Genomic DNA, 23,667 nt, shown 5'->3' on the forward strand with positions numbered 1-23,667 from the left:
GACACAATGTGTGCTGTAGACAAATGCTGAGAAAGTAAAGATGGACAGTCAGAATAAAAAGTATTTTGTACCTCTGTGTGCCAACGTGTCTTCTGGGCACTTTGATGTTTACTATATGTCTCAGATTTTCTCTTTAAAGCTCTGTGACCCAAGCATATTTTCCCCATTGAGGGGTTTGGAATTTAAAGACATGAATGAATTTCCCAAAGTTTTCAAGCTGGCAAAGGGTAAAGCCAGGATAGAAAAATCTAGATCTTTCTGACTGGAAACTCAAATATTTATATTATAAATTTCTCTTCTCAGCTGAGAAGAAAATATGGAAGAAGAACATGGAACTAAATCACTTACAGTTTTGAGTATGCAGAACACCATCCAGGTCAAGGTTGTTTCATGCCATGAATGTTAGGAGTTGTCACCTATGTTCTATTATCTGCTTGACAGTGTCTGTCCTGTTGTATAATTCCATCACATCATGTTGTATCGCAGTGTATTACATTGCAGCTCGTTCTATTCCCTTTCATTTTTTTTTAGACGGAGTTTTGCTCTTGTCACCCAGGCTGGAGTGCAATGGCGTGATCTCAGCTCACTGCAACCTCTGCCTCTCGGGTTCAAGCAGTTCTCCTGCCTCAGCCTCCTGAGTAGCTGGGATTACAGGCACCCACCATCACACCCAGCTAATTTTTGTGTGTTTTTTAGTAAAGATGGGGTTTCACCATGTTGGCCAGGGTGGTCTTGAACTTCTGACCTCAGGTGATCCACCCGCCTCGGCCTCCCAAAGTGCTGGGATTACAGGCATGAGCCACTACACCCATCTGAACAAGTTTCACAAGTCATTCAACAAGTCTCTGTGTGCCAGTTTCCTCAGATGTTGTCCTAGTCTGCGCACCACACTGGCCTCTTATCAGAGGCAGGGTTTCTGTGGTCTATCCATTTTGTTTAGGCTGAAGACAGGATCATTCAGGCTCTGTCGGGCCATTTTGCTATAGCTCAAGTGTTAGACATCACAGCCAGCTCACTGGCAAGTTCCATTGTTTCAGTTACAAAAGCAGCTTGTTACCATCCTTAGCAACCCATCCGCACGGACAAGTTGAAATAAGTGCTTTTAACATTCATACTCTTAAGACTGATGTCCGTTTATTAGAGAATCATATGTAGCTCATTCCTCCTCTTCTCCAATCCTTGGTTCTGGGGTATGATAGTCTCATGGGCTAGAGGGTGTCTCTCCAGGAGCAGGTGTGACTGGAGGCTCATGTGACTATAGTGAGTGCTCTCAGACAGTGGTTTTTGTGAGGGGAAAAGAACAGAGTCAAGTCAAGCAAACAAGCAGAATGTACACCTCATCAGTGCTGCATGTGACCACATTCAACCACCTGTCTTCTTCCTGCGTCTTTAATCAGAAAGAGAAGGCGACTTGCTTTTTACCTCCCATCCATCCCAAATTTGCCCTCACAGAAATGAGGGCTTGTTTGTTTTGTTTTCCCTTCTTTTTAAACTTAAAAAGAAATACTTTAAAACTTACATAAAATTGCAAGAAAATAGTATAAATAATTCTTCTACCATTTGTATTCACAGTTCCCCAATTATGAATATTCTTTATCATTCTATATCTATATATCTATATCTGTATCTATATCTGTATCTATATCTATATCTATATCTATATCTATATCTATATCTATGTATCTGTACCCGTTAGCTTTGTCTCTTTGTCTCTTTACCCATTAGCTTTGCCATTCCATATCCGTTACTCTGTAAGTATGTATCTATCTATCTATGTATTTATTTCTGAATTATTTGAGATCAAGTTACAGGCGTGAGGTCTCTTTACCCCAAATACTTAAGTATTTCCTTAAAAGAAAGACATTATCTTACATAATCGAGTACAATGACCAAAATCAGAAAGTTAACATTGATTTAATGATACTTATCTAACCTACAGATCTTATTCAAATTTCACCAATTATCCTAATAATGTACTTTATAGCCAAAGCAATTTCTGGTCTAGAATTCCACCTAGAATCATGTGGCACATTAAATTGTTGCTATCTTTTTAGTGTCTTTTAATCTGAAACAGTTATTCACAGTTTATCATTCATGAATTATTATTGAAGAGTATATATAGGCCAGTTGCTTATAATAGAGTACATTTCAATTTGAGTTTGCCTGATGACTAGATTCATGAGGTTATGATTTTTTTTCAGCAGGAATACCACAAAAATGATGCTGTGTCCTTCCCAGTTTGTCTGTTGGGCAGCATATGATCACCGGTTTATTCATTAGTGGAGGGAGACTTCTTTCTTAATGACTCAACTTCATTTTTTTTTCTTAGTACAACAAGCACCAATAGCACAAAGGCACACACTTAGTTTAGCCATTGCTAGAAATTCCAAGACCACTTTGACTTTCTTAAAACACTACTTTCAGTTCAGAACATGAACATAAAACATAGCTTGAAGCTTTCTGTTTTCTTTATCTTCTGATGTGAGACAGTCACAACCAAACTTTTAAGAGATTTGCTCCTCTTGCTATTCTAGCCCAATGAAGAGATGGCAGGAATCAGATGAGATAGCAAATGAGAAAGTGGCTTGCAAACTGTGATGTGTAATGGAAATCCAAGGGGCTCTGATTGTGATGAAGATTATATTCTTCGATTTCACAGGGTAAAGGGGTTTCAGGGAGAATGATAACTGATTGTGTGTTTCAACTTGATTGCATCATGGGATGCTCAGGTATCTGGTTACATGCTATTTATGAGTGTGTCCGTGAGGCTGTTTCCAGAAGAAATTAGCATTCAAATCGTTAGACTGAGTAAAGGGAATGGCTCTCCCCAGTGTGGGTGGGTATTATCCAATCCACTGAGGGCCTGAATAGAAAATAAAGAATGAAAAAGGATGAATAGAACCAAAAGGAGGATGAAAGGCAGGAGTCTCTCTCTTTCTCTTTCTGCCTGACTGCTTGGCTAGAACATTGATCTACCCTTGGTGCTCCTCCTGGTTCTCAGACCTTCGGACTTGGACTGGAATCTATACCTAAATCTGCAAGCTCTCCAGCTCTCAGACTTTACCTAAATCTGTCTCAGACCATACCTAAATCTCTCTCTCTCTTTCTCTCTGTCTCTCCCTCTCCCTCTCTTACAGGGCAGTTGTTTATAGAATATATCTCAATTTGAGTTTGATGTTTTTGAGAGACAGAATATCTATCTGTCTGTCTATCTATCCATCCATCCATCTATCATCTATTTATTATCTATCTATCTATCTATCTATCTATCTATCTATCTATCTATCTATCCTGCTTTTCTAGAGAACACAGACTAATGTAGGTGATAACTAGGATCCCTTCCCCACTAAGAATTGTTCAGGGCCCTGCACCCCAGAGGAAGAACCTATTTCCTTTCTTTCCCCTGGATCCACTGCTCACCTTTTCTTCTGCCTACAATCCTAGAAGTTCAAAATCTTCCAGGAAGAATTCTCCAAGTTTGTCCTTGCTTCATCTCCACCAACCTGAGTCAGCGAGTTTTTCAACCTTGCTATTTGTACCCATGTCCAGGTTGTTAATATATATACATGCACTGTGTGCTGCTGGTCCCTGAGTGCTGGAGGGCATGAAAATATTAACTTCTGTTCATGCAGAGAATTTGCTATTAACTCCAATGCTTCCTTTTTAAAAAAAATTTATTCACAGAAACCTGACAAGATCTTTACAGCTTTCTCCAGCTTATCAACCCGATTCAAATATCATAGAGGTTATTTTACCTTTCTTCACCCTATACTTGCAAGATTGTTTTAAATAGATTTTTCTCTGATTAAAAATAAATCACTCTCATGGTAGAATGTTTGGAAAGATCAGGAAAATCTAAAGAAGAAAATAATTCCTCAAATCTTAACTCCCTGAAGCCCTTATTCTCATCCTTTTTGGATTTATGATTCCAGTCTTTTTTCTTTTGGTACATTTTTTACAGATTTAGAATATTCAATATTCACAATATTGTTTGTATCTTTTCTTCTCAATTTACTAACTCTGTTCCCACTTCAAGGTACTGTTCATTCTCAACTCGCCTTTGAAATAACCTGCTGACCCCAAGCAGAACAGAAGATAAGCACTAGGCTTGTCCCACCTCAGACTGAACGGGAACTTGCTTGACTCATTGGTGGGTTTATATATGGGGCAATGGAAGGCAAAACACCAGAGAGTGGACACATTAGGATGAAATGTGTATGTTGTGTTAGAGTCTCTGCAACTTGACTTACTAGTTTCGTGATGCTGGAAAACGTTTTCTAAATATTCCACATCTCAGTTTCTTCTATTGTAAAATAGGGATAATTACATCAACCTCTGCAAGTGTGGTGTAGATTAAAAGACTCAATGCTCATAGCTTCCTCAGCCACATAGTACACACTCAGTTAATGGTGATTCAATAACTTTCTTTATCTGTATAAGACATCTGAGTTTTCCTACGATGGACCCATTCCCCTTCTCTTTATTACAGTGTCCAATATTTTAGGAAAGCACTCCCAGCCTACTCAGTCATTGTGTCATAGGTAGCTGATATAACCCCTAGCCCCAGGGAAAGGTACCTACTCCCAGCTCAGTCACTGATAACATGATCTCTCTTTTACCACGATTGGTTCAGGATGGGCCTGTAACCCAATCTGAAAATCAGTGAGATACAGTTATAGAACTTCTGTATGACTTCTGGAACAGAGAATTTCTCTTTCTATTTGCCTAGAAGCTTGGATCATGTAAGCATGGAGCTTCCAGGAGCTTCTGCACTCTGGCCCTGCTGCTTCTACCAGTGTGGTGAGGACATGGCTGATAATTAAGCAAATGCAATAAAGACCAGAGTTAAGGCATAGAAACTGATCCTGTCAACATTGTCTGACTAACTGGATCTAGCCTTACTTAAAACTAAATACAAATCTTTTCCTTTGAATGAACCACAAACAGCCACTCCTCGACCCCTTTTTAAATGCTGGCTTGAGTTGGGCTGTATTATTTGCAATCAAAAGAGATTTGATCAAGACACTTTTCTGGCTTCTACTTTTCAAAATTTGAAGGTTCTATGAATCCTTCCTCAGAGCACATTAATTTGTGTCAAGAATGGTCCATTCAGGTGCATTAGGGCCAAGCGGTTAATATTTACTGAGAGTACCTTCCAGCCTGGGGCTGGATGCAAATCTTCACCAAAATGGAGACAGACACACAGGGTGCTTGAAAAAGCACAATGTGAATTAACATCAGCCACCCTGTACGGCTTGATCTGAAGGCTGAGGTAGCAAAAGTTAATGAAGACCAACATGTAGTTTGACTTCTCTTACTATTTATTCCTAACTAGTATTGAAGGAATCTTTTTATTTTTTTAAATCACGTATTCTTTTTCAATTCTAAATCTTTCCCTTTCTCTCTCTTTTGCTTTAAGGAAACCCAGCTACTATGCACACCTCTTCTGTTTCACTCTTTTTATTATTGTGGTAAGGACATTTAACATGAAATCTAGCCTTTTAACAAATTTTTAAATGGACAAGATCATATCATTACCTACAGGCATGATGTTGTACAGCAGATCTCTGGAACATAGTCATCTTGCAAAACTGAAACTGAATCTGTTGAATAGCAATTACCTATTTCCTTTTTCTTCTAGACTCTGGAAACCAAAATTCTACTTTATGGTACTATAAATTTGACTATTTTGGATATTTCATATAAGTGGAAAAATGCAATATTTGCTCTTCTGTGACTGGCTTATTTCACTTAGCATAATGTCTTCCAGGTTCATCCACATTGATGAATATTGCAGGGTTTCTTCTTTTTCAAGGCTGAACAATATTCCATTATATGTATATGTAAATAAACCACACACACACACACACACACACACACACACATTTATTACATTTTCTTTATCCATCTTTTATCCATCAATGAACATTTAGGTTGTTTCCACATCTTGGCTCTTGCAAATAATGCTGCAATGAATGTGGGAGTGTAAACATCTCTTTGAGAACCTGATTTCAATTCTTTTGGATGAATACCTAGAAATGGAATTGCTGGAATATGGTATTCTATGTTTAGCTTTTTGAGAAACCTTCATGCTGTTTTCCATAGCAGCTGAAACATTTTGCATTCCCACTAACAATATACAAAAGTCTCATTTCTCCATGTCTTTGCCAACACTTGCTACCTTTTACCTTTTGTTTGTTTGTTTTTTTGAAAACGGCCATTGTAACAAGTGTAAGTTGATATCTTATATGGTTTTGATTTGTATTTCCTTGATGGTTAGTGATGATAAACATCTTTTCATATACCTCTTGGTCATCTGTATGTCATTGGACAAATGTCTATTGAAGTTCTTTGTTCTTTTTTTTGTTCGTTGGTTGGTTTTTGAGACGAAGTCTCACTCTGTCACCCAGGCTGGTGTGCAGTGGCTCAATCTCAGTTCACTACAGCCTCCACTTCCTGGGTTCAAGCGATTCTCCTGCCTCAGCCTCCTGAGTAGCTGGGATTAGAGGTGCCTGCAACCATGCCTGGCTAATTTTTTGTATTTTTAGTAGAGATGGGGTTTCGCCATGTTGGCCAGGCTGGTCTCAAACTCCTGACCTCAGGTAATCCACCCGCCTTGGCCTCCCAAAGTGCTGAGATTACAGGCATGAGCCACTGTGCCCAGCCTCTTTGCTCATTTTTAATTGGGTTATTTGTTTGCTTTTGTTATTGACTTATAGAAGTTCCTTACATAGTTTGGAAATTAACTTCTTAGCAGATATATGGTTTGCATTGCAAATATTTTCTTCCATCCCTTAGGTTGCCTTTCACTCTATTAATTGTTTGCTTTCCTGTGTAGAAGCTTTTTAGTTTGATGTAGTACAACTTGTTAACTTTTGCTTTTGTTGCCAGTGCTTTTGGTATCATATTTAAGAAATCACTGCGAAGACCAATGCCATAAAGCTTTTCCCCTATGTTTTCTTGCAGGAGTTTTGAACTTTCAGGTCTTATCTTTAAGTCTTTAATTCATTTTAAGTTGACTCCTGTGTGTGGAGTAAGAAAAAAGCAGGGTTTTTTCAACAGCATTTGTTGAAGAGACTATCTTTTCTTTCCCCATTGTGTATTCTTAGCGCATTTGTCAAAGATCAGTTAACCGTATACACATGGCTTTATTCCTGGGTTATCCATTCTGTTCCATTGGTCATCTCTCTCTCTCTCTTTTTCTGTTTTCTTTTTTTTTCTCTCTCTCTTTTGGACAAGGTCTTGCTCTGTTGCCCAGGCTGGAGTGCAGTGGTGCAATTACAACTCACTGCAGTCTCTACCTCCTAGGCTCAAGTGATCCTCCCGCCTCAGCTTCCCGAGTAGTTTTAGGATCATACACCATAACCAAGTTGGGTTTATCCTTGAAATGTATGAATTGTCTAACATACAAAAATTAATTAATGTGATACAACGATACAGCACATTAATAGAATGAAGGAAAGAAATCATATGATCATCTTAATTGATACAGAAAAATCATTTGGCTGAATTCAACACTGCTTCATGATAAAAATTCTCTCAACAAACTAGGACTAAGAAGGATTTTAACTCACCAATTTGAAGGCCGTATGTGAAAAGCCCATGGCTAACATCATACTCAATGATGAAAAGCTGAAAACTTTCCCTGTAGGATAGGGAAGAAGGCAAGGATGCCCGCTCTAGTCATTTCTATTCAACATAGAACTGGGAGTCCTAGCCAGAGCAATTTGACAAGAAATAGAAATGAAGGCATCTAAATTGGAAAGGGAGAAGTAAAATTTTTTGTTTACAGATGACATGATCTTATAATTAGAAAGCCCTAAAGACTTCACACATACACATAAACAAAACAGAACTAATAAAAAAATTCAGTAAAATTGCAGGACACTGAATCAACATAAAAAATCAGCTGTATTTCTATACACTAACAATAAACTACCTAAAAAGGAAATTAAGAAAATAATTCCACTTATGATAGCATCAAAAAGAATAAAATACTTAGGAATAAACTTAACTAAGGAAGTGAAAGATTTGTACATGGAAAACAATAGAACATTGATGAAAGAACTTAAAGAAGACACAAATGAATGGAAAGATATTCTGGGTTAATGGATTGGAAGACTTAATATTATTACAGTGTCCATACTACCCAAAGCAATCTACAGATTCAATGCAATACTTATAGAAATGCCAATGGCATATTTTACATAAATAGGAAAAACAATTCTAAAGTTCAAAGGGAGTCACAAAAGACCCCGCATAGCCAAAACAATCTTGAGAAAGAAAAACTAAGTTAGAGGCATTATACTTCCTAATTTCAAAATGTTTCACAAAGCTACAATAATTAAATCTGTGTCATTTTTAATCTTGTCTTCTTCTAATTAGAACAGAGGTGCTTAGAGAAATGAGATACAATTTTATTTGTTGTGGTAAAGCCCTGTGATTTCATATATATATATATATATATATATATATATATATAGTAGTTATATATTAGTTAGTGTTCATGGTTAGAGTGCTACTTATATATTACTCTTAAGAATTCATTTCAACTATTCTGAAAAGGCCTTCTTTTTTTTTTTTTTTTTGAGATGGGGTCTCGCTCTGTTGCCCAGGCTGGGGTGCAGTGGTACAATCTTGGCTCACTACGAGTCCGCCTCCCGGGTTCACGCCAGTCTCCTGCCTCAGCCTCCCAAGTAGCTGGGACTTACAGGTGCCGGCCACCGCAATTGACACAGTTCTGTCCACTTACATTGGATCACTGATATAATACACTTAAATATACAACTAAATAAAATAGAGGGGCTTTAAAATCTATTAAATCTATTTTATATTGTAATTTAGGTATATGTCTATTTGGGGATGAATATTATTAATTATGAATGTTTTATTTGTGAATAACATGAAACGTAACCCAGGTTTAAACAATACCCACTTTCTGCCCCTCCCATTTAGAAGTGTGTTGTTGGTTCAGCTGCTGTGTAATACAGTCAAAGACTATGTGTCTTTTAATCTTTCTGTTCTACTATCCTTAGCAGGCTTGCTTTGCCTATTCATACTTATTACCTAATAAATGCAAAATGGTTGCTGAAGCTCCAGATGCCACATCTGTGTCCAAGGGGTAAGAAGGAGGAAGGAAGAGCTCCAGCAATCCGTCCCTTTAATCAGGAAAGCAAAACTTTTCTGAAAACTTTTCACCTATTTCAAAAAAGCAGGGTCATATGGCAAAGAGAAGAACAATCATGATTCATCACTTGGGGATGGGCATGTGGCTACCCAGAATAAAATTGAGTTCTGTTAGAAAAAAAGGAATGGTGGAGGGGGCTGCTGAGTAAGCAACTAACAGTGCTTTGTGTGCCCACTTTTGAATAAATAAGTTTCATTTTTACAGGCTAAAAGGCATACATATGTCTATGTATGTTCTTATATATATTCCTAAATATCAATATAAGCATCAATATTTAGAAATGAATTAACATAGGTTAAGTGTTTAGAATAGTGCCTATTAGGTGCCATAGAAAGATTTGCTATCATTATTTTTACTGTTAGGTGTCTATATATTTATATGTGTTTTACAGACAGTTTCTAAAAGTACTTCCTTTCCTCTTCACAATGATTACAACATCTGTTCTTTTTAACTCTAGGGGTACAAGCTGGAAAAGGGGAAAATGAATCATGCTACAGGCCAAGTGTCCATCACTGATTCCCAGAGATGCCCTTTGTGTGGTAGGCACTTCCATGTGGACTCGCTACAGAGGTACATGCATAGGTCCAAGATAGGCGTCCCTCAGCTCATGGCCTATATTCCAGCTTGTAGACTTTTGCTAAGGATGACCCCTCACCAGTAACCAGCTCTGGTCCCAAGCTCCTGGCTGCAGTCTTTAGTGTCCACAAACCCACAGAGGCTCATCATCCTCAACTGTGGGAGTGCACCTTTTCCTGCTGGTTCCTCCTCGTTGCCCTGGTATTTCTCCAAATGTTGTTCTCCCTCTGCTCAAATAGGCATGGAGCAGGGGCAGATCAGAAAGTATGATGTCCAGCCATCCTCCAACCAAAGAACAAAGTGCTAGACTATCATCATTGCACGTACCCCCAGTCTCTACTGGGGATGCCTAAGAGTCTTCCTTTCATGTTGTGAAATGAGGAGTGACTCTTCTGCTCCCATTGTGGGGAGGAAGGGAATAAATAGACCCCCACACATGTCATTGTCCTGCTGATATCCTAGAATTCCATCTCTTCCTCCAGTCATTCATCTACTTATATAGAATGAAGGTTTGGGGGTTTTAGCCTCCCCTTGATACCCTGAAGGGGGTGTGTGTGGCCTCCTAATACTCTCATTTTCCTTTAGAATGTGGGTGACTAGAGGCTACTTTGCCATTTGCTTTGAGTTTTAGTAGCTAATTCTGGGTTAACAGTGAAAGTCCTATTTGATATCCTGCTACTCTTGTTACTTTAACCTAATTAGATATTATATAAGTTGATAAAATGTGCATGTACGAGGAAATAGAGCAGTGTCTCCAAGAAACTAAGTGAAATTAGTTGGAGAAGCTTGAAAAAGCTAAGTTATTTAAAAATGCTGTGCCATCAGATGTATGTGAGGTAATACTAAGCAGTTGGAAAACAATGGTAAAATGGGAAGTGATTGTTCACTCAGATTGCTTCATGTGTTTCTTGACATCCTCATCCCATTTTGAAAGATTTTAAACTAGAATTGAAATGTAAAGGAGGTTCATAAAAGAAGATCGGGATATCCAATTTGCAGGCCCTGGCTCAAAGAACGGTGTGGGCCCTATGGTAAAAGGCAAACAAATATGCAGTCATATGTTTTAGGTTGAAACAAAAGCTTTAGGGTATGTATATTTCATTTTTAAAAGATTTCTCTAACCATCTTTTCAACTAGCTGTTTCTAATCATTCTGGATAACAGGGCTTTAATAGCAGCTCATAGTACCAGCTGCCAGCCTCCAGGTGCCCTTGCAGACAATCTCCCAGCCAGGGAAGAATGTGGAGCAGACTCCCATCTTTCTCACCAAGCCCCCTTCCCTCCTACTCTCCTTCTTTCTTAGACTATCATTATTCCCTAGCAATTATCGAGTTTTCAGCCTCCTTTTGTATCTCAGGATTCCTGCATCTGCTTCTGTTGCTGGGTGGAGGAGATGGAAAACTGCAAAGGCGAAGTGGCATAGGGGGAAGACTTGAGAACCATCTGCCTTGGGTTCCTTCTTGATTTTTTTTTTTTTTTTTTTTTTTTTTTGAGACAGAGTCTCGCTCTGTTGCCCAGGCTGGAGTGCAATGGTGCGATCTCGGCTCACTGCAACCTCTGCCTCCCAGGTTCAAGTGATTCTCCTGCCTCAGCCTCCTGAGTAGCTGGGACTACAGGCACTCACCACAATGTCTGGCTAATTTTTTGTATTCTTAGTAGAGGTGGGGTTTCACCACGTTGGCCAGGCTAGTCTCAAACTCCTGATCTCTGGTGATCTGCCCACCTCGGCCTCCCCAAGTGCTGGGATAACAGGCTTAAGCCACTGCATCTGGCCACTGCCTTGACTTTTTATTCCAGTTGTCTTCAACAGCCTGGAGTAGTAAAACGTAACTGGGTATCTATTCCTGTGAGGGTTAATACTGCACCAATAATCCTCACCCAGGCTTATAAGGCTAGTTTACCACACTACCGTAATCTTTTAATTGACAAGCATGCCTGTCCTGTGTCTCTTTCCTACCACACACAGACCCTTTCTATGAATATTGAATGCACAGTTATGCTTTTGAAGTCATTAGCTTTTATCTTCTTACCAGAAGGAATAGGGAGACAGAGAATCCTGCTACCTATCTACCAACTTACCTAGCTATGTACTCATATCTGTTTGTCTATCTACCTGTTCATCTTCCATAAAATGTTGTGCCTGGCACATAGTGAAGTTCTGATAAATGCATATTATTGTTACTCTCCATGGTGAATGTTGTAATGTCCAGTAGCTGATGATTTGATTCAATCTGCAATTGCTGCTTTGTAGTTTTGTCCTTTGGCCAACCTCTACTTCTGATGTCTTCCTTTGCTTGAGTCCGTGTCTTTCCTAATTTATTCCCCAACTCCAGGCCTGTTCTGATTTCTGATATCCAAAAATTTTCTTTTTTCCTGGCCTTGGGTCCTCCTAGAAAGGAATGGAGAGCTTGATTCCTCTGCTTTACCCTGAATATGGACACACAAAAAATAACAAACACAACTGCCCTTTCTGCCTCCTTCTTCCATTCTTCTGGTTTCTAGCCCAAAAAGATTTTGAGACAAACTGTGGATTTTTAAAACTTCCTAAAATAAAAAAGGCAACCCATATATCTGTGGCACGTATTAATAATAGCATCTGGCTGGGTGCATTGGCTCACGCCTGTAATCCCAGCACTTTGGGAGGCCGAGGTGGGCAGATCATGAGGTCAGGAGTTCAAGACCAGCCTGGCCAACATGGTGAAACCCCATCTCCACTAAAAATACAAAAATTAGCTGGGTGTGGTGGCGGGTGCCTGTAATCCCAGCTACTCGGAAGGCTGAGGCAGGAGAATCATGTGAATCCGGGAGGCGGAAGTTTCAGTGAGCCGAGATTGCGCCATTGCACTCCAGCCTGGGCGACAGGGTGAGACTCCATCTCAAAAAACACAAAACACAAAAAGCAAAAACAAACAACAACAACAACAAAAAAACAATAGCATCCACCTAGGGTGGATATTGGACCATGCTTGGAAGTGGTGGTGGTGATACTTACAGCAGGAAGTTGAAAGCAGCTTCTATCCCATTACTCCATTTTCTTCAACAGCCCGGAACACCCAGCTCTTGGTTCACCGAGTCTGTAAATATTTTCTGTCTAATTCCCTGCTGGATCCATTTTGTCTTTTCAAGGCTGCTTCTTTGTCAGAAGGTTTGCAGGCTTCAAAGAGCAGAGATGGTGTATGTTTTAGGTTTCAGTGGCATCTGCTGCCAGGACCAGCCTTAACTACAGTGTGAGTACTCAGCGGCTTTCCCAATTCCTGGGATGTGCCAGGTGCTAATCTCCACACTATTAAAGAAATAAGGGAGGGTACCCACCTCTACCTGATGCAGCACAAATGACTTCACAAGACTCACAAGTTCCTGCATGCTCTGGCACCTGCCTACCTTTCCATCTTCATCTCTCAACACTCCTCATTCCGCTCCCTCTAGCCCTAGTTCCCTGCTCATTGCACTGCACTCCAGCAACAAAGAGTTTTTTGCAGGTCCCAGGACAAGCCTCACTGTCTCTTACCTTAGGGTCCTCCCTTTGCCTAGAATGCTCTCCTCTCTTCTACCATACCTTCTCATCCCATTCTCAGTCTTCCAAAAACTCTTACTTACTATTCAAGTCTCAATTTAGACGTTGCTTTTCCCATAAATCTTTCTCTGTACCTCAAAGACTTAAACACCTGCCAAGGAGTCGTGCTTTGTGCAAAGCACTTTTCACAGCATCACATGGGATTCAATTATCTTTTCACTTATTGATCTCTGTCATTTCCATGAAATTAGGAACGATGTTAGCCATTATATCGCCACGGCACATGTCAGTAGCACAATAAAAATTCATGCAATAATTCACTGTGAATAAATGAGAAGCTACAACTAAACCTGAACAAGGCTTATGCTAGGTATCCACCCCAATTTAGATCCAACTCAGGAGACTGGTGCCAACCTAGTGCCCAGGAGAGGACTTTAAAAATCTGTGCAGAGGGCACTTTTCAGCTTCCGTGAGGCTGTTCATGCAAAGAGAGGTTGCTTTTAAGAGACCACTTACCCATCCAAAAAAGGGGTCCGGAGCCAGGGAAGAAGCAAGTGCCGTAAGGGAGACCACTGCCTGGATTTAGCACTGTAATGGGAGGAGAGGCAGAGAAACAGACCTCATCCCTACAGGGGTATTAGGCTTCGAGACAGCATATTTTAGGGAATTAAGAAATCTAATCAGCCTGGTGCACTAAGAGGGAATCTGCAAACTCCCGGGTGTGGAAGAAAGCCGAAGTATCCTCGGGGAGATCCTAATTAAAGCGCAGCCGATTACAATTCCTCTGAAAAAAGAAAATGAAAGGACTGAGAAACATCTGCTGTGGTTTCATGAAGGGACTGCTCAAGGATGCAGAGTGTGAGAAAAAGAAATTCTTGACAGCATGGATGAGGCACAGAGCATGTTTGTTCTCCATTGGGCAAAGCTGGTGGGGGATGGGGCCTGACAACACAAAGGCGGGGGTTTAGGATTGTTTTAGACTATAGGGCAAAATAGAAGAGACCAAGGTTTGGTGGACATGAGAGGGAAAGGAGGCGTATCCTTCTCGTCCCTGTGCAGACAAGAATGACCCAGTGACCCTGCTGAGCTCTCTCCAGTTTGCCTAGCAACCTGCGAGCTGGGCCTGAGGGCCCCTCGTCTGATAGGAGAGGCTATGCACGACCTCCACTTCCCAAGGTCTCCAGGTGCTGGAGATCTCCAAGTGATCATCCCTAGTGATCCTCAGAGCACCTTGAAATACCTAGGCTTTGTCTGCTTGGTTCCAGAGTCTGAGATGTGTATTTCTTTCTGCAAGGCCGCTTTCGTGCTCATCCCATATAAAGGCAGAACAGGCCAGGCGCAGTGGCTTATACCTGTAATCCCAGCACTTTGGGAGGCCAAGATGGGTGGATCAGTTGAGGTCAGAAATTTGAGACCAGCCTGGCCAACATGAGAAAACCCTGTCTCTACTAAAAATACAAAACTTAGCTATGCATGGTGGTGGTGCATGCCTATAGTCTCAGCTACTTGGGAGGCTGGGGCATGAGAATCACTTGAACCCGGGAGGCAGAGGTTGCAGTGAGCTGAGATCATGCCACTGCACTCCAGCCTGGGTGACTGAGAAAGACTCTCTTAAAAAGATGATTGTCCCAGGCCTTATCCCTGAAAAATCTCCAAAAAGAAGAAGTTCAGATCTGATTAGAGTAAGTGCTCACATATCTTAGATGTAATCCTGGAATTGCTGAGCTAGAAGAGAGCTCAGATGTCATACAGCCCAATCTCCTGCAAATACAGGAACAGAAAAATGTAAAAGCCCAGGTAAGATTTAAACACAATTTTAGGCAACAGTCATGTCAGAATTTTCAAAGGATGGTACAGGAAACACATGCTATTGCTATGCAGAGGAGAAAGTGCTGACCATGGCCTGGGGAGAGTCCACAAAACCTTTGGGAAGCAGTAGGGATTAGTGTAGGTCCTGAAGCCCAAATTTCAAAGGTGAACAGCAGCCAGAAGTCCTCTGAGAAAGACAAAGGCAGGGCAGGACAACTCTGAGTACTGCCTGAAGAACGCCCTTAGACAGTGGTACTCAGAAACATGAATGGAGCTTACCTCAATGGTGTGCTTATATCTCCAAATGTTCCAGTAATCTGATTCTATATAAGTACCCCAAGATGTAGTAGCCTAGACTAACTACCATTTTACGATATCTCATGACTTCATTGGTCAGGGATTGAGACAGGGCTCAGCTGGATGATTCTTCTACTCCATACTGCATCAACTTGAGTCACTCATGGTATTCACATGGTAGCTGGTCTGGGCTGCAGGATACAAGATGGCTTGTTCACGTGCCTGGTGCCTTGATGGGGATGGCTGGAAGGTTTGACTTAGTCAGGCACTCTCCTTTTCCATGTAGTCTCAGGGCCTCTCCACAGAGCAGTCTGACTTCTTACATAGCTGCTCAGGGTTTCCAAGAAACCCAAGCAGAAGCTATAAGATTTCTTATGTCCTAGCTTCAGAACTTCCCCAATGTCATTTCTGTCAAATTCTATTTGTCAAGTAAGTCACTAAGACCAGTAGAGATTCAATTAGACCCTCCCCTCAAGCATCCATTTCCACAACAAATATTTCTAAATTTCCTATTCCATGCCAAGCCTTTGCTTGCTACTACTAAGGTTGCAAAAATGAATCATTCATGTTCCTAATCTGGAGAAATTCATGATCTAATTGTGGAGGCCATTATATATTTTTAATGTCCATATCATGTGATAAGAACTAATAAAAGTGGGGACTAAATGGCAAAAGAGTATAGAGAAAATGTAGCCTATCTTAGAATTGGACGAACTAAGTCCTGTGGGCTGAATCCAGTCTGCAGCCTGTTTTTATGAATAAAGTTTTATTGGAACAAAGCCATGCTTATTTATTTACATATTGTCTGTGCCTGCTTTGGCACTATAATGGCAGAATTGAGTAGTTGCAACAGAGACTATATTACCTGCAAAGCCTAAAATATTTACTCTCTGGTCTTTGACAGAAAAAGCTTGTTGACTCTGGATCTACCTAGGTATGGCTGAATTCCAGGAACTGTAAATCCAAATTTGGGACAATTGTTCAGAATTTGTTAGTGTATTTGGATACTGACATTTCTCCTAGATTTATTTCATTTTCTACCTGGATTTTCTCTTTATTTTTATTTTAAAATATATTTTACTTTCCTTATATTATGTGTGTTTAATAATATTTTATCATATAAAATTGTATTTATCCGGAACCTTCTATATGCAAACTTTGTACTAGACCTTGCTTGTGAAAAACTTACAATCTAGTAGTGGAAAATTCAAGTATCAATTATTAAACAAAACACCAGGCAGAAGTATGAAAAAGGAACAAGGTTAAGACCAACTATATGCCAGTCTTTGCATATTCATTTAAATTCTACAGTAACTTTATGAGCTATATATTATGAGACCATTTTATAAATGTGGAAACTAAGGCCCAGAGAAATAAACTTACTCAACCCAAGGATAGCTAATAGGTGGTATAACTGAAATTTAGTTAGAAATTTACCATTTGGCCTATCTATTTATTCTATTACTATATGTTTCAGTGCCACAATTTGTATTTGGTTCTTCCTCAAATCTGCTGGTATTTTTTTTTTTCACTGTGCCATTAAATTACTGACTCTCTTTCTTCCCTCATCTCTTTGAATATTTTAAACATACTTAACTTGAAAGCCCATCCCAATCTATCCTTGGCTCCAAACTTGTCAGAATGCTGGGTAAAATGTAACGTACCGATGGCTAGAAAGACAGATAAATTTCCCTGACACTGAGTTACCATATCTACAAAATAGTGCTGTTAGTTATTATTATTATTATTCATGGTTCCCAGGGTGTGACTCCAACATTTGCTGTGTCTGACAGCACTCACTGAAATTTAGTCATTTCGAAGTTTGTAATTTTTTACTACAAGCTCATCTGTAGTGGCACTTATTTTCCTTTGTAAATTCTATTATATATGTCCTGATTTATGGAGACGTCCTATTGAGTAGTTTAGCATTTGCCTGTATGGAGGACTTATTGAATTCACCTGTCTGGACCAACTTCTTCACACATTTTCTAGTTTGGAGTTCCTGAACAACATGGACAGTGTTAATTTGGATTCCATGCTTCATGGCACAGAATTGGAGCACTAACTACTCAGTGATGACTTTCTCTTCCTCTAGCTAAGGTGATCAACAAGTTTCCTTGTTCTTTCTCCAAGTAGTAGAAGAAAGTAAAGGTAATGTGTTTTATTTTTGTTTGAAATTTCTGTGTCTATAATTTATCTCCTTTTGTGCCATCTGTGAATCGAGATTTACCATATTCTATTTTTCTGGTGACTAATATTAAAGGTATTACTTTCTCTTCTTCTAGCAGTTACGCTGGAAGTTTTCACATGTATATTTAACTTTAAACAAATCTAAAGTTTATCTTCTTGCACAATTAAAGAACTATAGAATGTTTTATGCTGCTTGCCCTCAAATGATAAAAATGATGTTTATTTTAGTTCTTGTTTAACATCACAAATAAGGCATAATTTTATTCCTTTCCACATTCTAAGATTGTTTATATTTATCCATATTTACTTTTTTCCCCTTGCTATCCTTCCTTTAATCTCCTGCCTCTTTTGAAGCTTGCTTTTCTTCTTTTTGAAGTGAAAATTTTGGTTTCTTGGCACTAAATATTATTATTTTTTGTTTTCCTTTAAAAATGATTTAACCCTTGTTCTTGAAAGATGGCTTCTTTGAATACATATATTCTAGATTGATAATTTTTTTTTTTAGTACTTACTATTCCATTGTCTTCTTGTCTCCATTTTTGGGGATGAGAAGTCAGCAGTCTACAGGCCTTTTGACAGTAATATGAATTTTTGATTTCTGAGATTTATTATATTCTGTACCTACCAAGTAATACCTTTCAGTGATTTTGAAAATTTTTCAGATAATGACCTTTTAAAATATGACCTCCTTTTCTCTAGTCTTTCCATTATCTCCTTTTGAACACCAATTAATTATTGTTAGACCATCTTGCTCTACACTTTATGACTCCTGAATTCTTTTTCACATTTGTTGTTTTCTGTCTTTCTTGACTGCTATCTTGGTAATTAATTAAACCTATCTTCCAGTTCATCAAGATTGTCATCATCTCTATATAACATGCCCTCTAATTTGTTCATAGTTTGTAATTCTCATTTATTCATTTATTATTTCTAAAAGTTCCATTTGATTTTTTTCCATTTTTTTCTGACGAATTTTGATAGTTTCTTTTGGGAAGAAAGAGGATATCTTTTTTCATACTTTCAATGCTTATTTCTTTAAATATGTTATCTATCCTAATTTTTTTTCTTGCCTATGTTAATTCCAAGACTGATCATCTTTATGAGTCAGTTCTGCAATCTGGGTTTTGTTGTTATTCTTGTTTTTAGTCTTAATCATGGTGACTTGCTTCTATACATTATGTAATTTGTTACTGTGAGTACATATTTCATGGAATGTTATTCCTCACAGACCTGAGTTAAAGTACACTCCTCAAAAGAGGATTTTACTTATATTCTGCATTACTAAAACACTGGACTACTTTCAACTACATTTTTGGTTTGGAATTTTTTTTGGATTATATTCACATGTGAATTCTGAACCCAAACTTATGTGCAGCTGGGCTTGTGGGTAGAAATTCTTTGGGAGGTCTTAATCTACTTTATCCAGAAAAAAGCAAACATTCCCACATTGCTTTCTGAAAAGCAGATTTATGGTTCTATTTTATTTCTCCTAAATCACTATGACGATCTTGTTTTAACTTATGGGTTCTTAATTCAACGTCCCCTCTGAGAAAGTCCTAAGTTTTGTCTACCATTCTTTCGGGTGCATGGTTTGTTAAATCTTAAGTTGTAGGTCCCCAGAAATTGGTAGATAGTCTTAGAAAAAAATAATAATTTTCATTCTGAACTATATTTTCCCTCCTTTCAAACCTCTGGAGATTTCCTTAGTTTTTATATTTTATTCAGAATTTTAATGAATTCTGTGTCAGAAAGATTTCTTTGGTCATCTATTTCATCTGGAGATAAAAGTCAGGGCTGTTTTTCTAACACCTGTCTCATGGACAGAACAACAAGTCAGGCTATGCCCTTTATGGAGTGAGAGTAGTTCCAGGGTTCTGCCTTAAGCAGGCCTGAGATCTTAGTTCCTGCTCCTGGGTGGGTATCAAAACACTGGTCCCAGCCCCTAAGGCCCAATTTTTGTTCTAATACCAATTTGGATATTTATCTCAATGCCTGATCACCTCTTCATCTTTTTTTTTTTTTTTTTTTGAGACAGAGTCTCTGTCACCATGGCTGGAGTGCATTGGCATGATCTCGGCTCACTGCAACCTCTACCTCCCGGGTTCAAGCGATTCTCCTGCCTCGGCCTCCCAAGTAGCTGGGACTACAGGTGTGCGCCGCCACACCCAGCTAATTTTTGTAGTTTTAGTAGAGATGGGGCTTCACCATGTGGGCCAGGTTAGTCTTGATCTCTTGACCTCATGATCTGCCTGCCTCGGCCTCCCAAAGTGCTGGGATTACAGGCATGAGCCACCACGCCTGGCCACCTCTTTGTCTTTAAATTCACTCTTTGTGGCACCTTGGAATTATCTTTTATTGCAATAAAATACGTCCCCATTTTTATTTTTGTTGTCATTACCCTTAACACTTCTATCTGAGTAGCAGTGAAGCATCATCATTATGAGGACAGTCTCTTAAGCTGGACTTCCAGGCTGTCCTGGCTCCACAACTCTCTAGTTGTAACATCTTGGACAAGAAATTTAACCTCCATGTGCCTTACATCTCTTCATTGATCAGACAGGCATAATAACCATGCCTGCCTCTTAGAGCTTCTGTGAGGATTCAATGAGTCAATCCACATAAAGCACTTAGAGTAGTCCCTGGCATGTGATCTGTGTGATCTGAGCATTAACTAGTATCAACAGGGTGTATTTAGACCAAGAAACTTTCTGTTTCAGCTCAGGCTTTCCCAGGTGGACCTCCCTCCCTCCAACTCCAGGTTCTTTCCATTACACCATGAGGTCTACCCAGGGATAGGAGAGGGGTTAAGTCAGGAAATGTGTGAGCTTTGGTGGGGTATGACTGAGATCTGCTTCTTAAATTTGAGACATAAGGTAGAGGCTTGATTGTTGAATGATAAGGCTAAATTCTACTTCATATGATGAGCCAAGTGTGATGCCTAGGGCTAAATTTAAGGAAGCACTGTTTTACAGGGTTGTGCCCATGGAATCCCTGCACTGATATAACCTAGAGAGTTAGTACCTCCTTAAATTTTGCTTGCTAGGCTCCTCACTGGCCTCAGCCTCATCTGACCGTGATCATCACCCTTGTATAGTGAGAGGATCAGAGAGGTCGTAGCTTATCCAAAATTATATTTCTGAAAACTGACAGAACTGTGATTGAAATCCAGTTTGCGTGACTCCAGAGAACTTGCCCTTAAACATTGGGTGCAACTGCTTTGAGTCTGATTGAGGCAGGTACCATAAAAACAGAGTGAGAGTATCACATGGAATTTGTTCAAAGAGCTGGGACCAACTGGTGGACAACACACTTCAAGAAACAAGACTTCACTGCATTGAATGCTCATCTATCAAGGGCCACATGTCAACCACAGGTGGTAGAAGGAAGCTGCCTTACCTCGCTGGTTCCCTGTCAGCCCCACCCATGGCTCCCTCCCCTTTTGTTCCATTCATCTTGGGTGGCATTTGGTGTCCCCCTGGTAGAATATACTTGCAATTCCAGGGGAATAAAAGCTGAAGTCAGGGCCTGGATAGATTTGGAGGGTAGTAAAAATTGGTCTCAGCCTGGTGCGGTGGCTCACGCCTGTAATCCCAGCACTTTGGGGGGCTGAGGTGGGTAGATTGCCTGAGGTCAGGAGTTCCAGACCAGCCTGGCCAACATGGAGAAACCCTGTCTCTACTAAAAATACAAAAATTAGCCAGGTGTGGTGGCAGGCACTTGTAATCCCAGCTACCCAGGAGGCTAAGGCAGGAGAGTTGCTTGAACCTTGGAAGCAGAGGTTGCAGTGAGCTGAGATCAGGAGGTTGCAGTGAGCTGAGATCAGGAGGTTGCAGTGAGCTGAGATTGCGCCATTGCACTCCAGCCTGGGCGACAAGAGAGAGTTAGTCTCAAAGAAAAAAAAGATTTGGTCTCCAGGTGTTTGATAGAATGGACCTATCAGAAGAAATTAATTGACCACAAATTAGAGGGAGGGCAGAGCCTGAATAGCTCAGTACTTATGTCCTTGTGTCCTTGGTGGAGACTAGCACAGTGCCTCATCTCTATTTAATATTTGATTGACAAATACTCTTATTAAACACAATTTGAATCTTTTCCTCTTTTCTAGGAGACAGATGAATTTCTATCTATACTCAGTATGCTTAAGATTTACTAGAACACAGGCACAACTAGATAAACTGTCCTGTGAAATTCACCTGAATGTGATAAAGAACTCTGCTACTCAGTGGTAGGGCTCAAAAAGCAGTACCACACAATGAAAGTCTCAGAAGCAAACATTTTTCTGTGACTTTCTCCCACCCTCCTGCCTCTGACTCCTCATTCTTCCCTGAGATGACCCATAGAAACTAGAATCTCTCTTCCCCAAGGCAGGACATAGAAACCAGAACTTTTTCCTCAAAGCCAGCCATAAAACCTAAAAATAGTATTATAACTTCCCTCTACCTTTCTGTGTAAAAATTGGCTGTAAAGAAATTATCTGGCTTATCTTGTTTGGTTGTAGGTCATAAGACCCTAATTCCAGAGGGCCCTACCCTATAACCAGAAGGAAGAACTATTGCACAGAGAATCTAAGAAGAATCTAGACAGACAGCCCTTGCTGGATTTCTCCACTCTGTTAGCATTCGATCATTTGCCTTTTGTCCAGTCATATTTCTGCATGGCTGTCCATACTTTGTTGAACCTAAGCACAAAATGGAAAGTTTTCCCTGTATCTTTGGGTCGTCATTCTGAAGGCTCCCATGTTATGTAAAACTATGATCAAATAAATATGCATGCCTTTTCTCCTATAAGTCTGCCTTTTGTCAGTGATTTTCAGTGAACCTTCAGAGAGTGAAGGGGAAGTTTTCCCTTGGCCCCTATATCAGTTTCCTCAATACCTGCCATGCAGAAAATCTAAACTAAGATGTGCCAAACAACAAGGTATCCAGTTGGTAGAAGAGCTCTTACTGAGTGACACTAGGGAGTTGTTGGGTAAAGATCTATTTCAGACTTTCAATTAATTATCTGAAAGCAGGATTCAGGAGTGTGAAGGGAGACTTGTGGCGTATTCCACCAGGGGGGGACAGTAAATGCTGCCCAAGAAGAATGGCGCAAAAGGGGATGGAGCATGGGTGGGGCTGACAGGGAGCCAGGGAAGTAAGGCAGCTGCCTTCTACCAGCTGTGGTCAACATGTGGCTCATGAAGGATGAGTACTCAATGGGGTGGAGTCCTGTTTCCTGAGATATGTTGTCCAGCAGTTGGTCCCAGCTCTTTGAACAGATTCCATGTGATACCCTCTCCCTGTTTCCATGGTACCTGCCTCACTCATACTCAAAACAGCATCACCTAGTGTTAAAGGGCAAGTTCTCTGGAGTCAGGCAAACTGGGTTTCAATCACAGCTCTGTCGGTTTTCAGAAATATAATTTTGGATAAGCTACGACCTCTCTGATCCTCTCACTATACAAGGGTGATGATCACAGCCAGATGAGGTTCAGGCCAGTGAGGAGCCTAGTGAGCAAAATTTAAGGAGGCACTAACTCTCTAGGTTATATCAGTGCAGGGATACCATAGGCATAACCCTGAGAAAGAGTGGTTTCTTAAATGTGTAGCCTTGGGCATCACACCTGCCTCATTCTAGTGGAGGAGTGACTGGTGATGATTATGTCTACCTCATAGAGTTGAGATGAGAATGAGATAAAATCTCACAGGGAAAGTTAATTACAGAGTGCGTGATACATGGGAACTGTGAGTATTCAGGTACCCTCCTCCTTTCTTACCTTCCTAACCCATTCCCAGCATATGCTACTCTCATCACTCAATGGGGAGGCGACCCGAGGAATCTGTTAGAAAGTTCAAGCCTTTTGAAGGGTAAGAGAGCACCCGTTAGAAAGAAGAGACCCCTGTCCTTTTTGGAGCAAAAAATGAAAGTGGGCTCAAAGGGTGGGCCCTCTGGGTACCTGACATTTGCAAACAGTGATATACATTGTTGTATATAGAAAGAAGATGTTTTATTACTTTTATTTTTAGATGGAGTTTCGCTCTTATTGCATAGGCTGGAATGCAATGGCGCGATCTCAGCTCGCTGCAACCTCCGCCTCCTGGGTTCAAACGATTCTC

At 40.1% G+C, this 23,667-nt stretch overlaps 2 long non-coding RNA genes across 23 annotated transcripts in view; one reads left to right on the forward strand and one right to left on the reverse strand.

Annotated features, from left to right (window-relative positions):
• Positions 1 to 22,359, forward strand: part of LINC01643 (long intergenic non-protein coding RNA 1643) — a 201,365-nt gene extending 179,006 nt beyond the window's left edge. For 13 of the 22 annotated variants that reach the window (NR_183602.1, NR_183600.1, NR_183601.1 and 10 more), the window contains 2 exons: positions 9,645 to 9,757; positions 22,071 to 22,359. This is a non-coding gene — a long non-coding RNA (long intergenic non-protein coding RNA 1643). Of the gene's footprint in view, positions 1 to 9,035; positions 9,122 to 9,644; positions 9,758 to 17,374; positions 17,534 to 22,070 lie in introns of all 22 variants that reach the window. The other 9 variants (NR_183585.1, NR_183589.1, NR_183598.1 and 6 more) reach the window with 4 other exon arrangements.
• LL22NC03-13G6.2 (uncharacterized) lies at positions 11,227 to 14,121 on the reverse strand. The gene is made up of 3 exons (XR_938187.4): positions 13,793 to 14,121; positions 12,755 to 12,916; positions 11,227 to 12,151 (listed from the first exon to the last, which is right to left on the reverse strand). It is a non-coding gene; the product is annotated as an uncharacterized LL22NC03-13G6.2 (long non-coding RNA).
• Positions 22,360 to 23,667: the final 1,308 nt, after the last annotated feature.

This window comes from Homo sapiens, chromosome 22 (genome assembly GCF_000001405.40).
Source record: "Homo sapiens chromosome 22, GRCh38.p14 Primary Assembly".
NCBI lineage: Eukaryota > Metazoa > Chordata > Mammalia > Primates > Hominidae > Homo > Homo sapiens.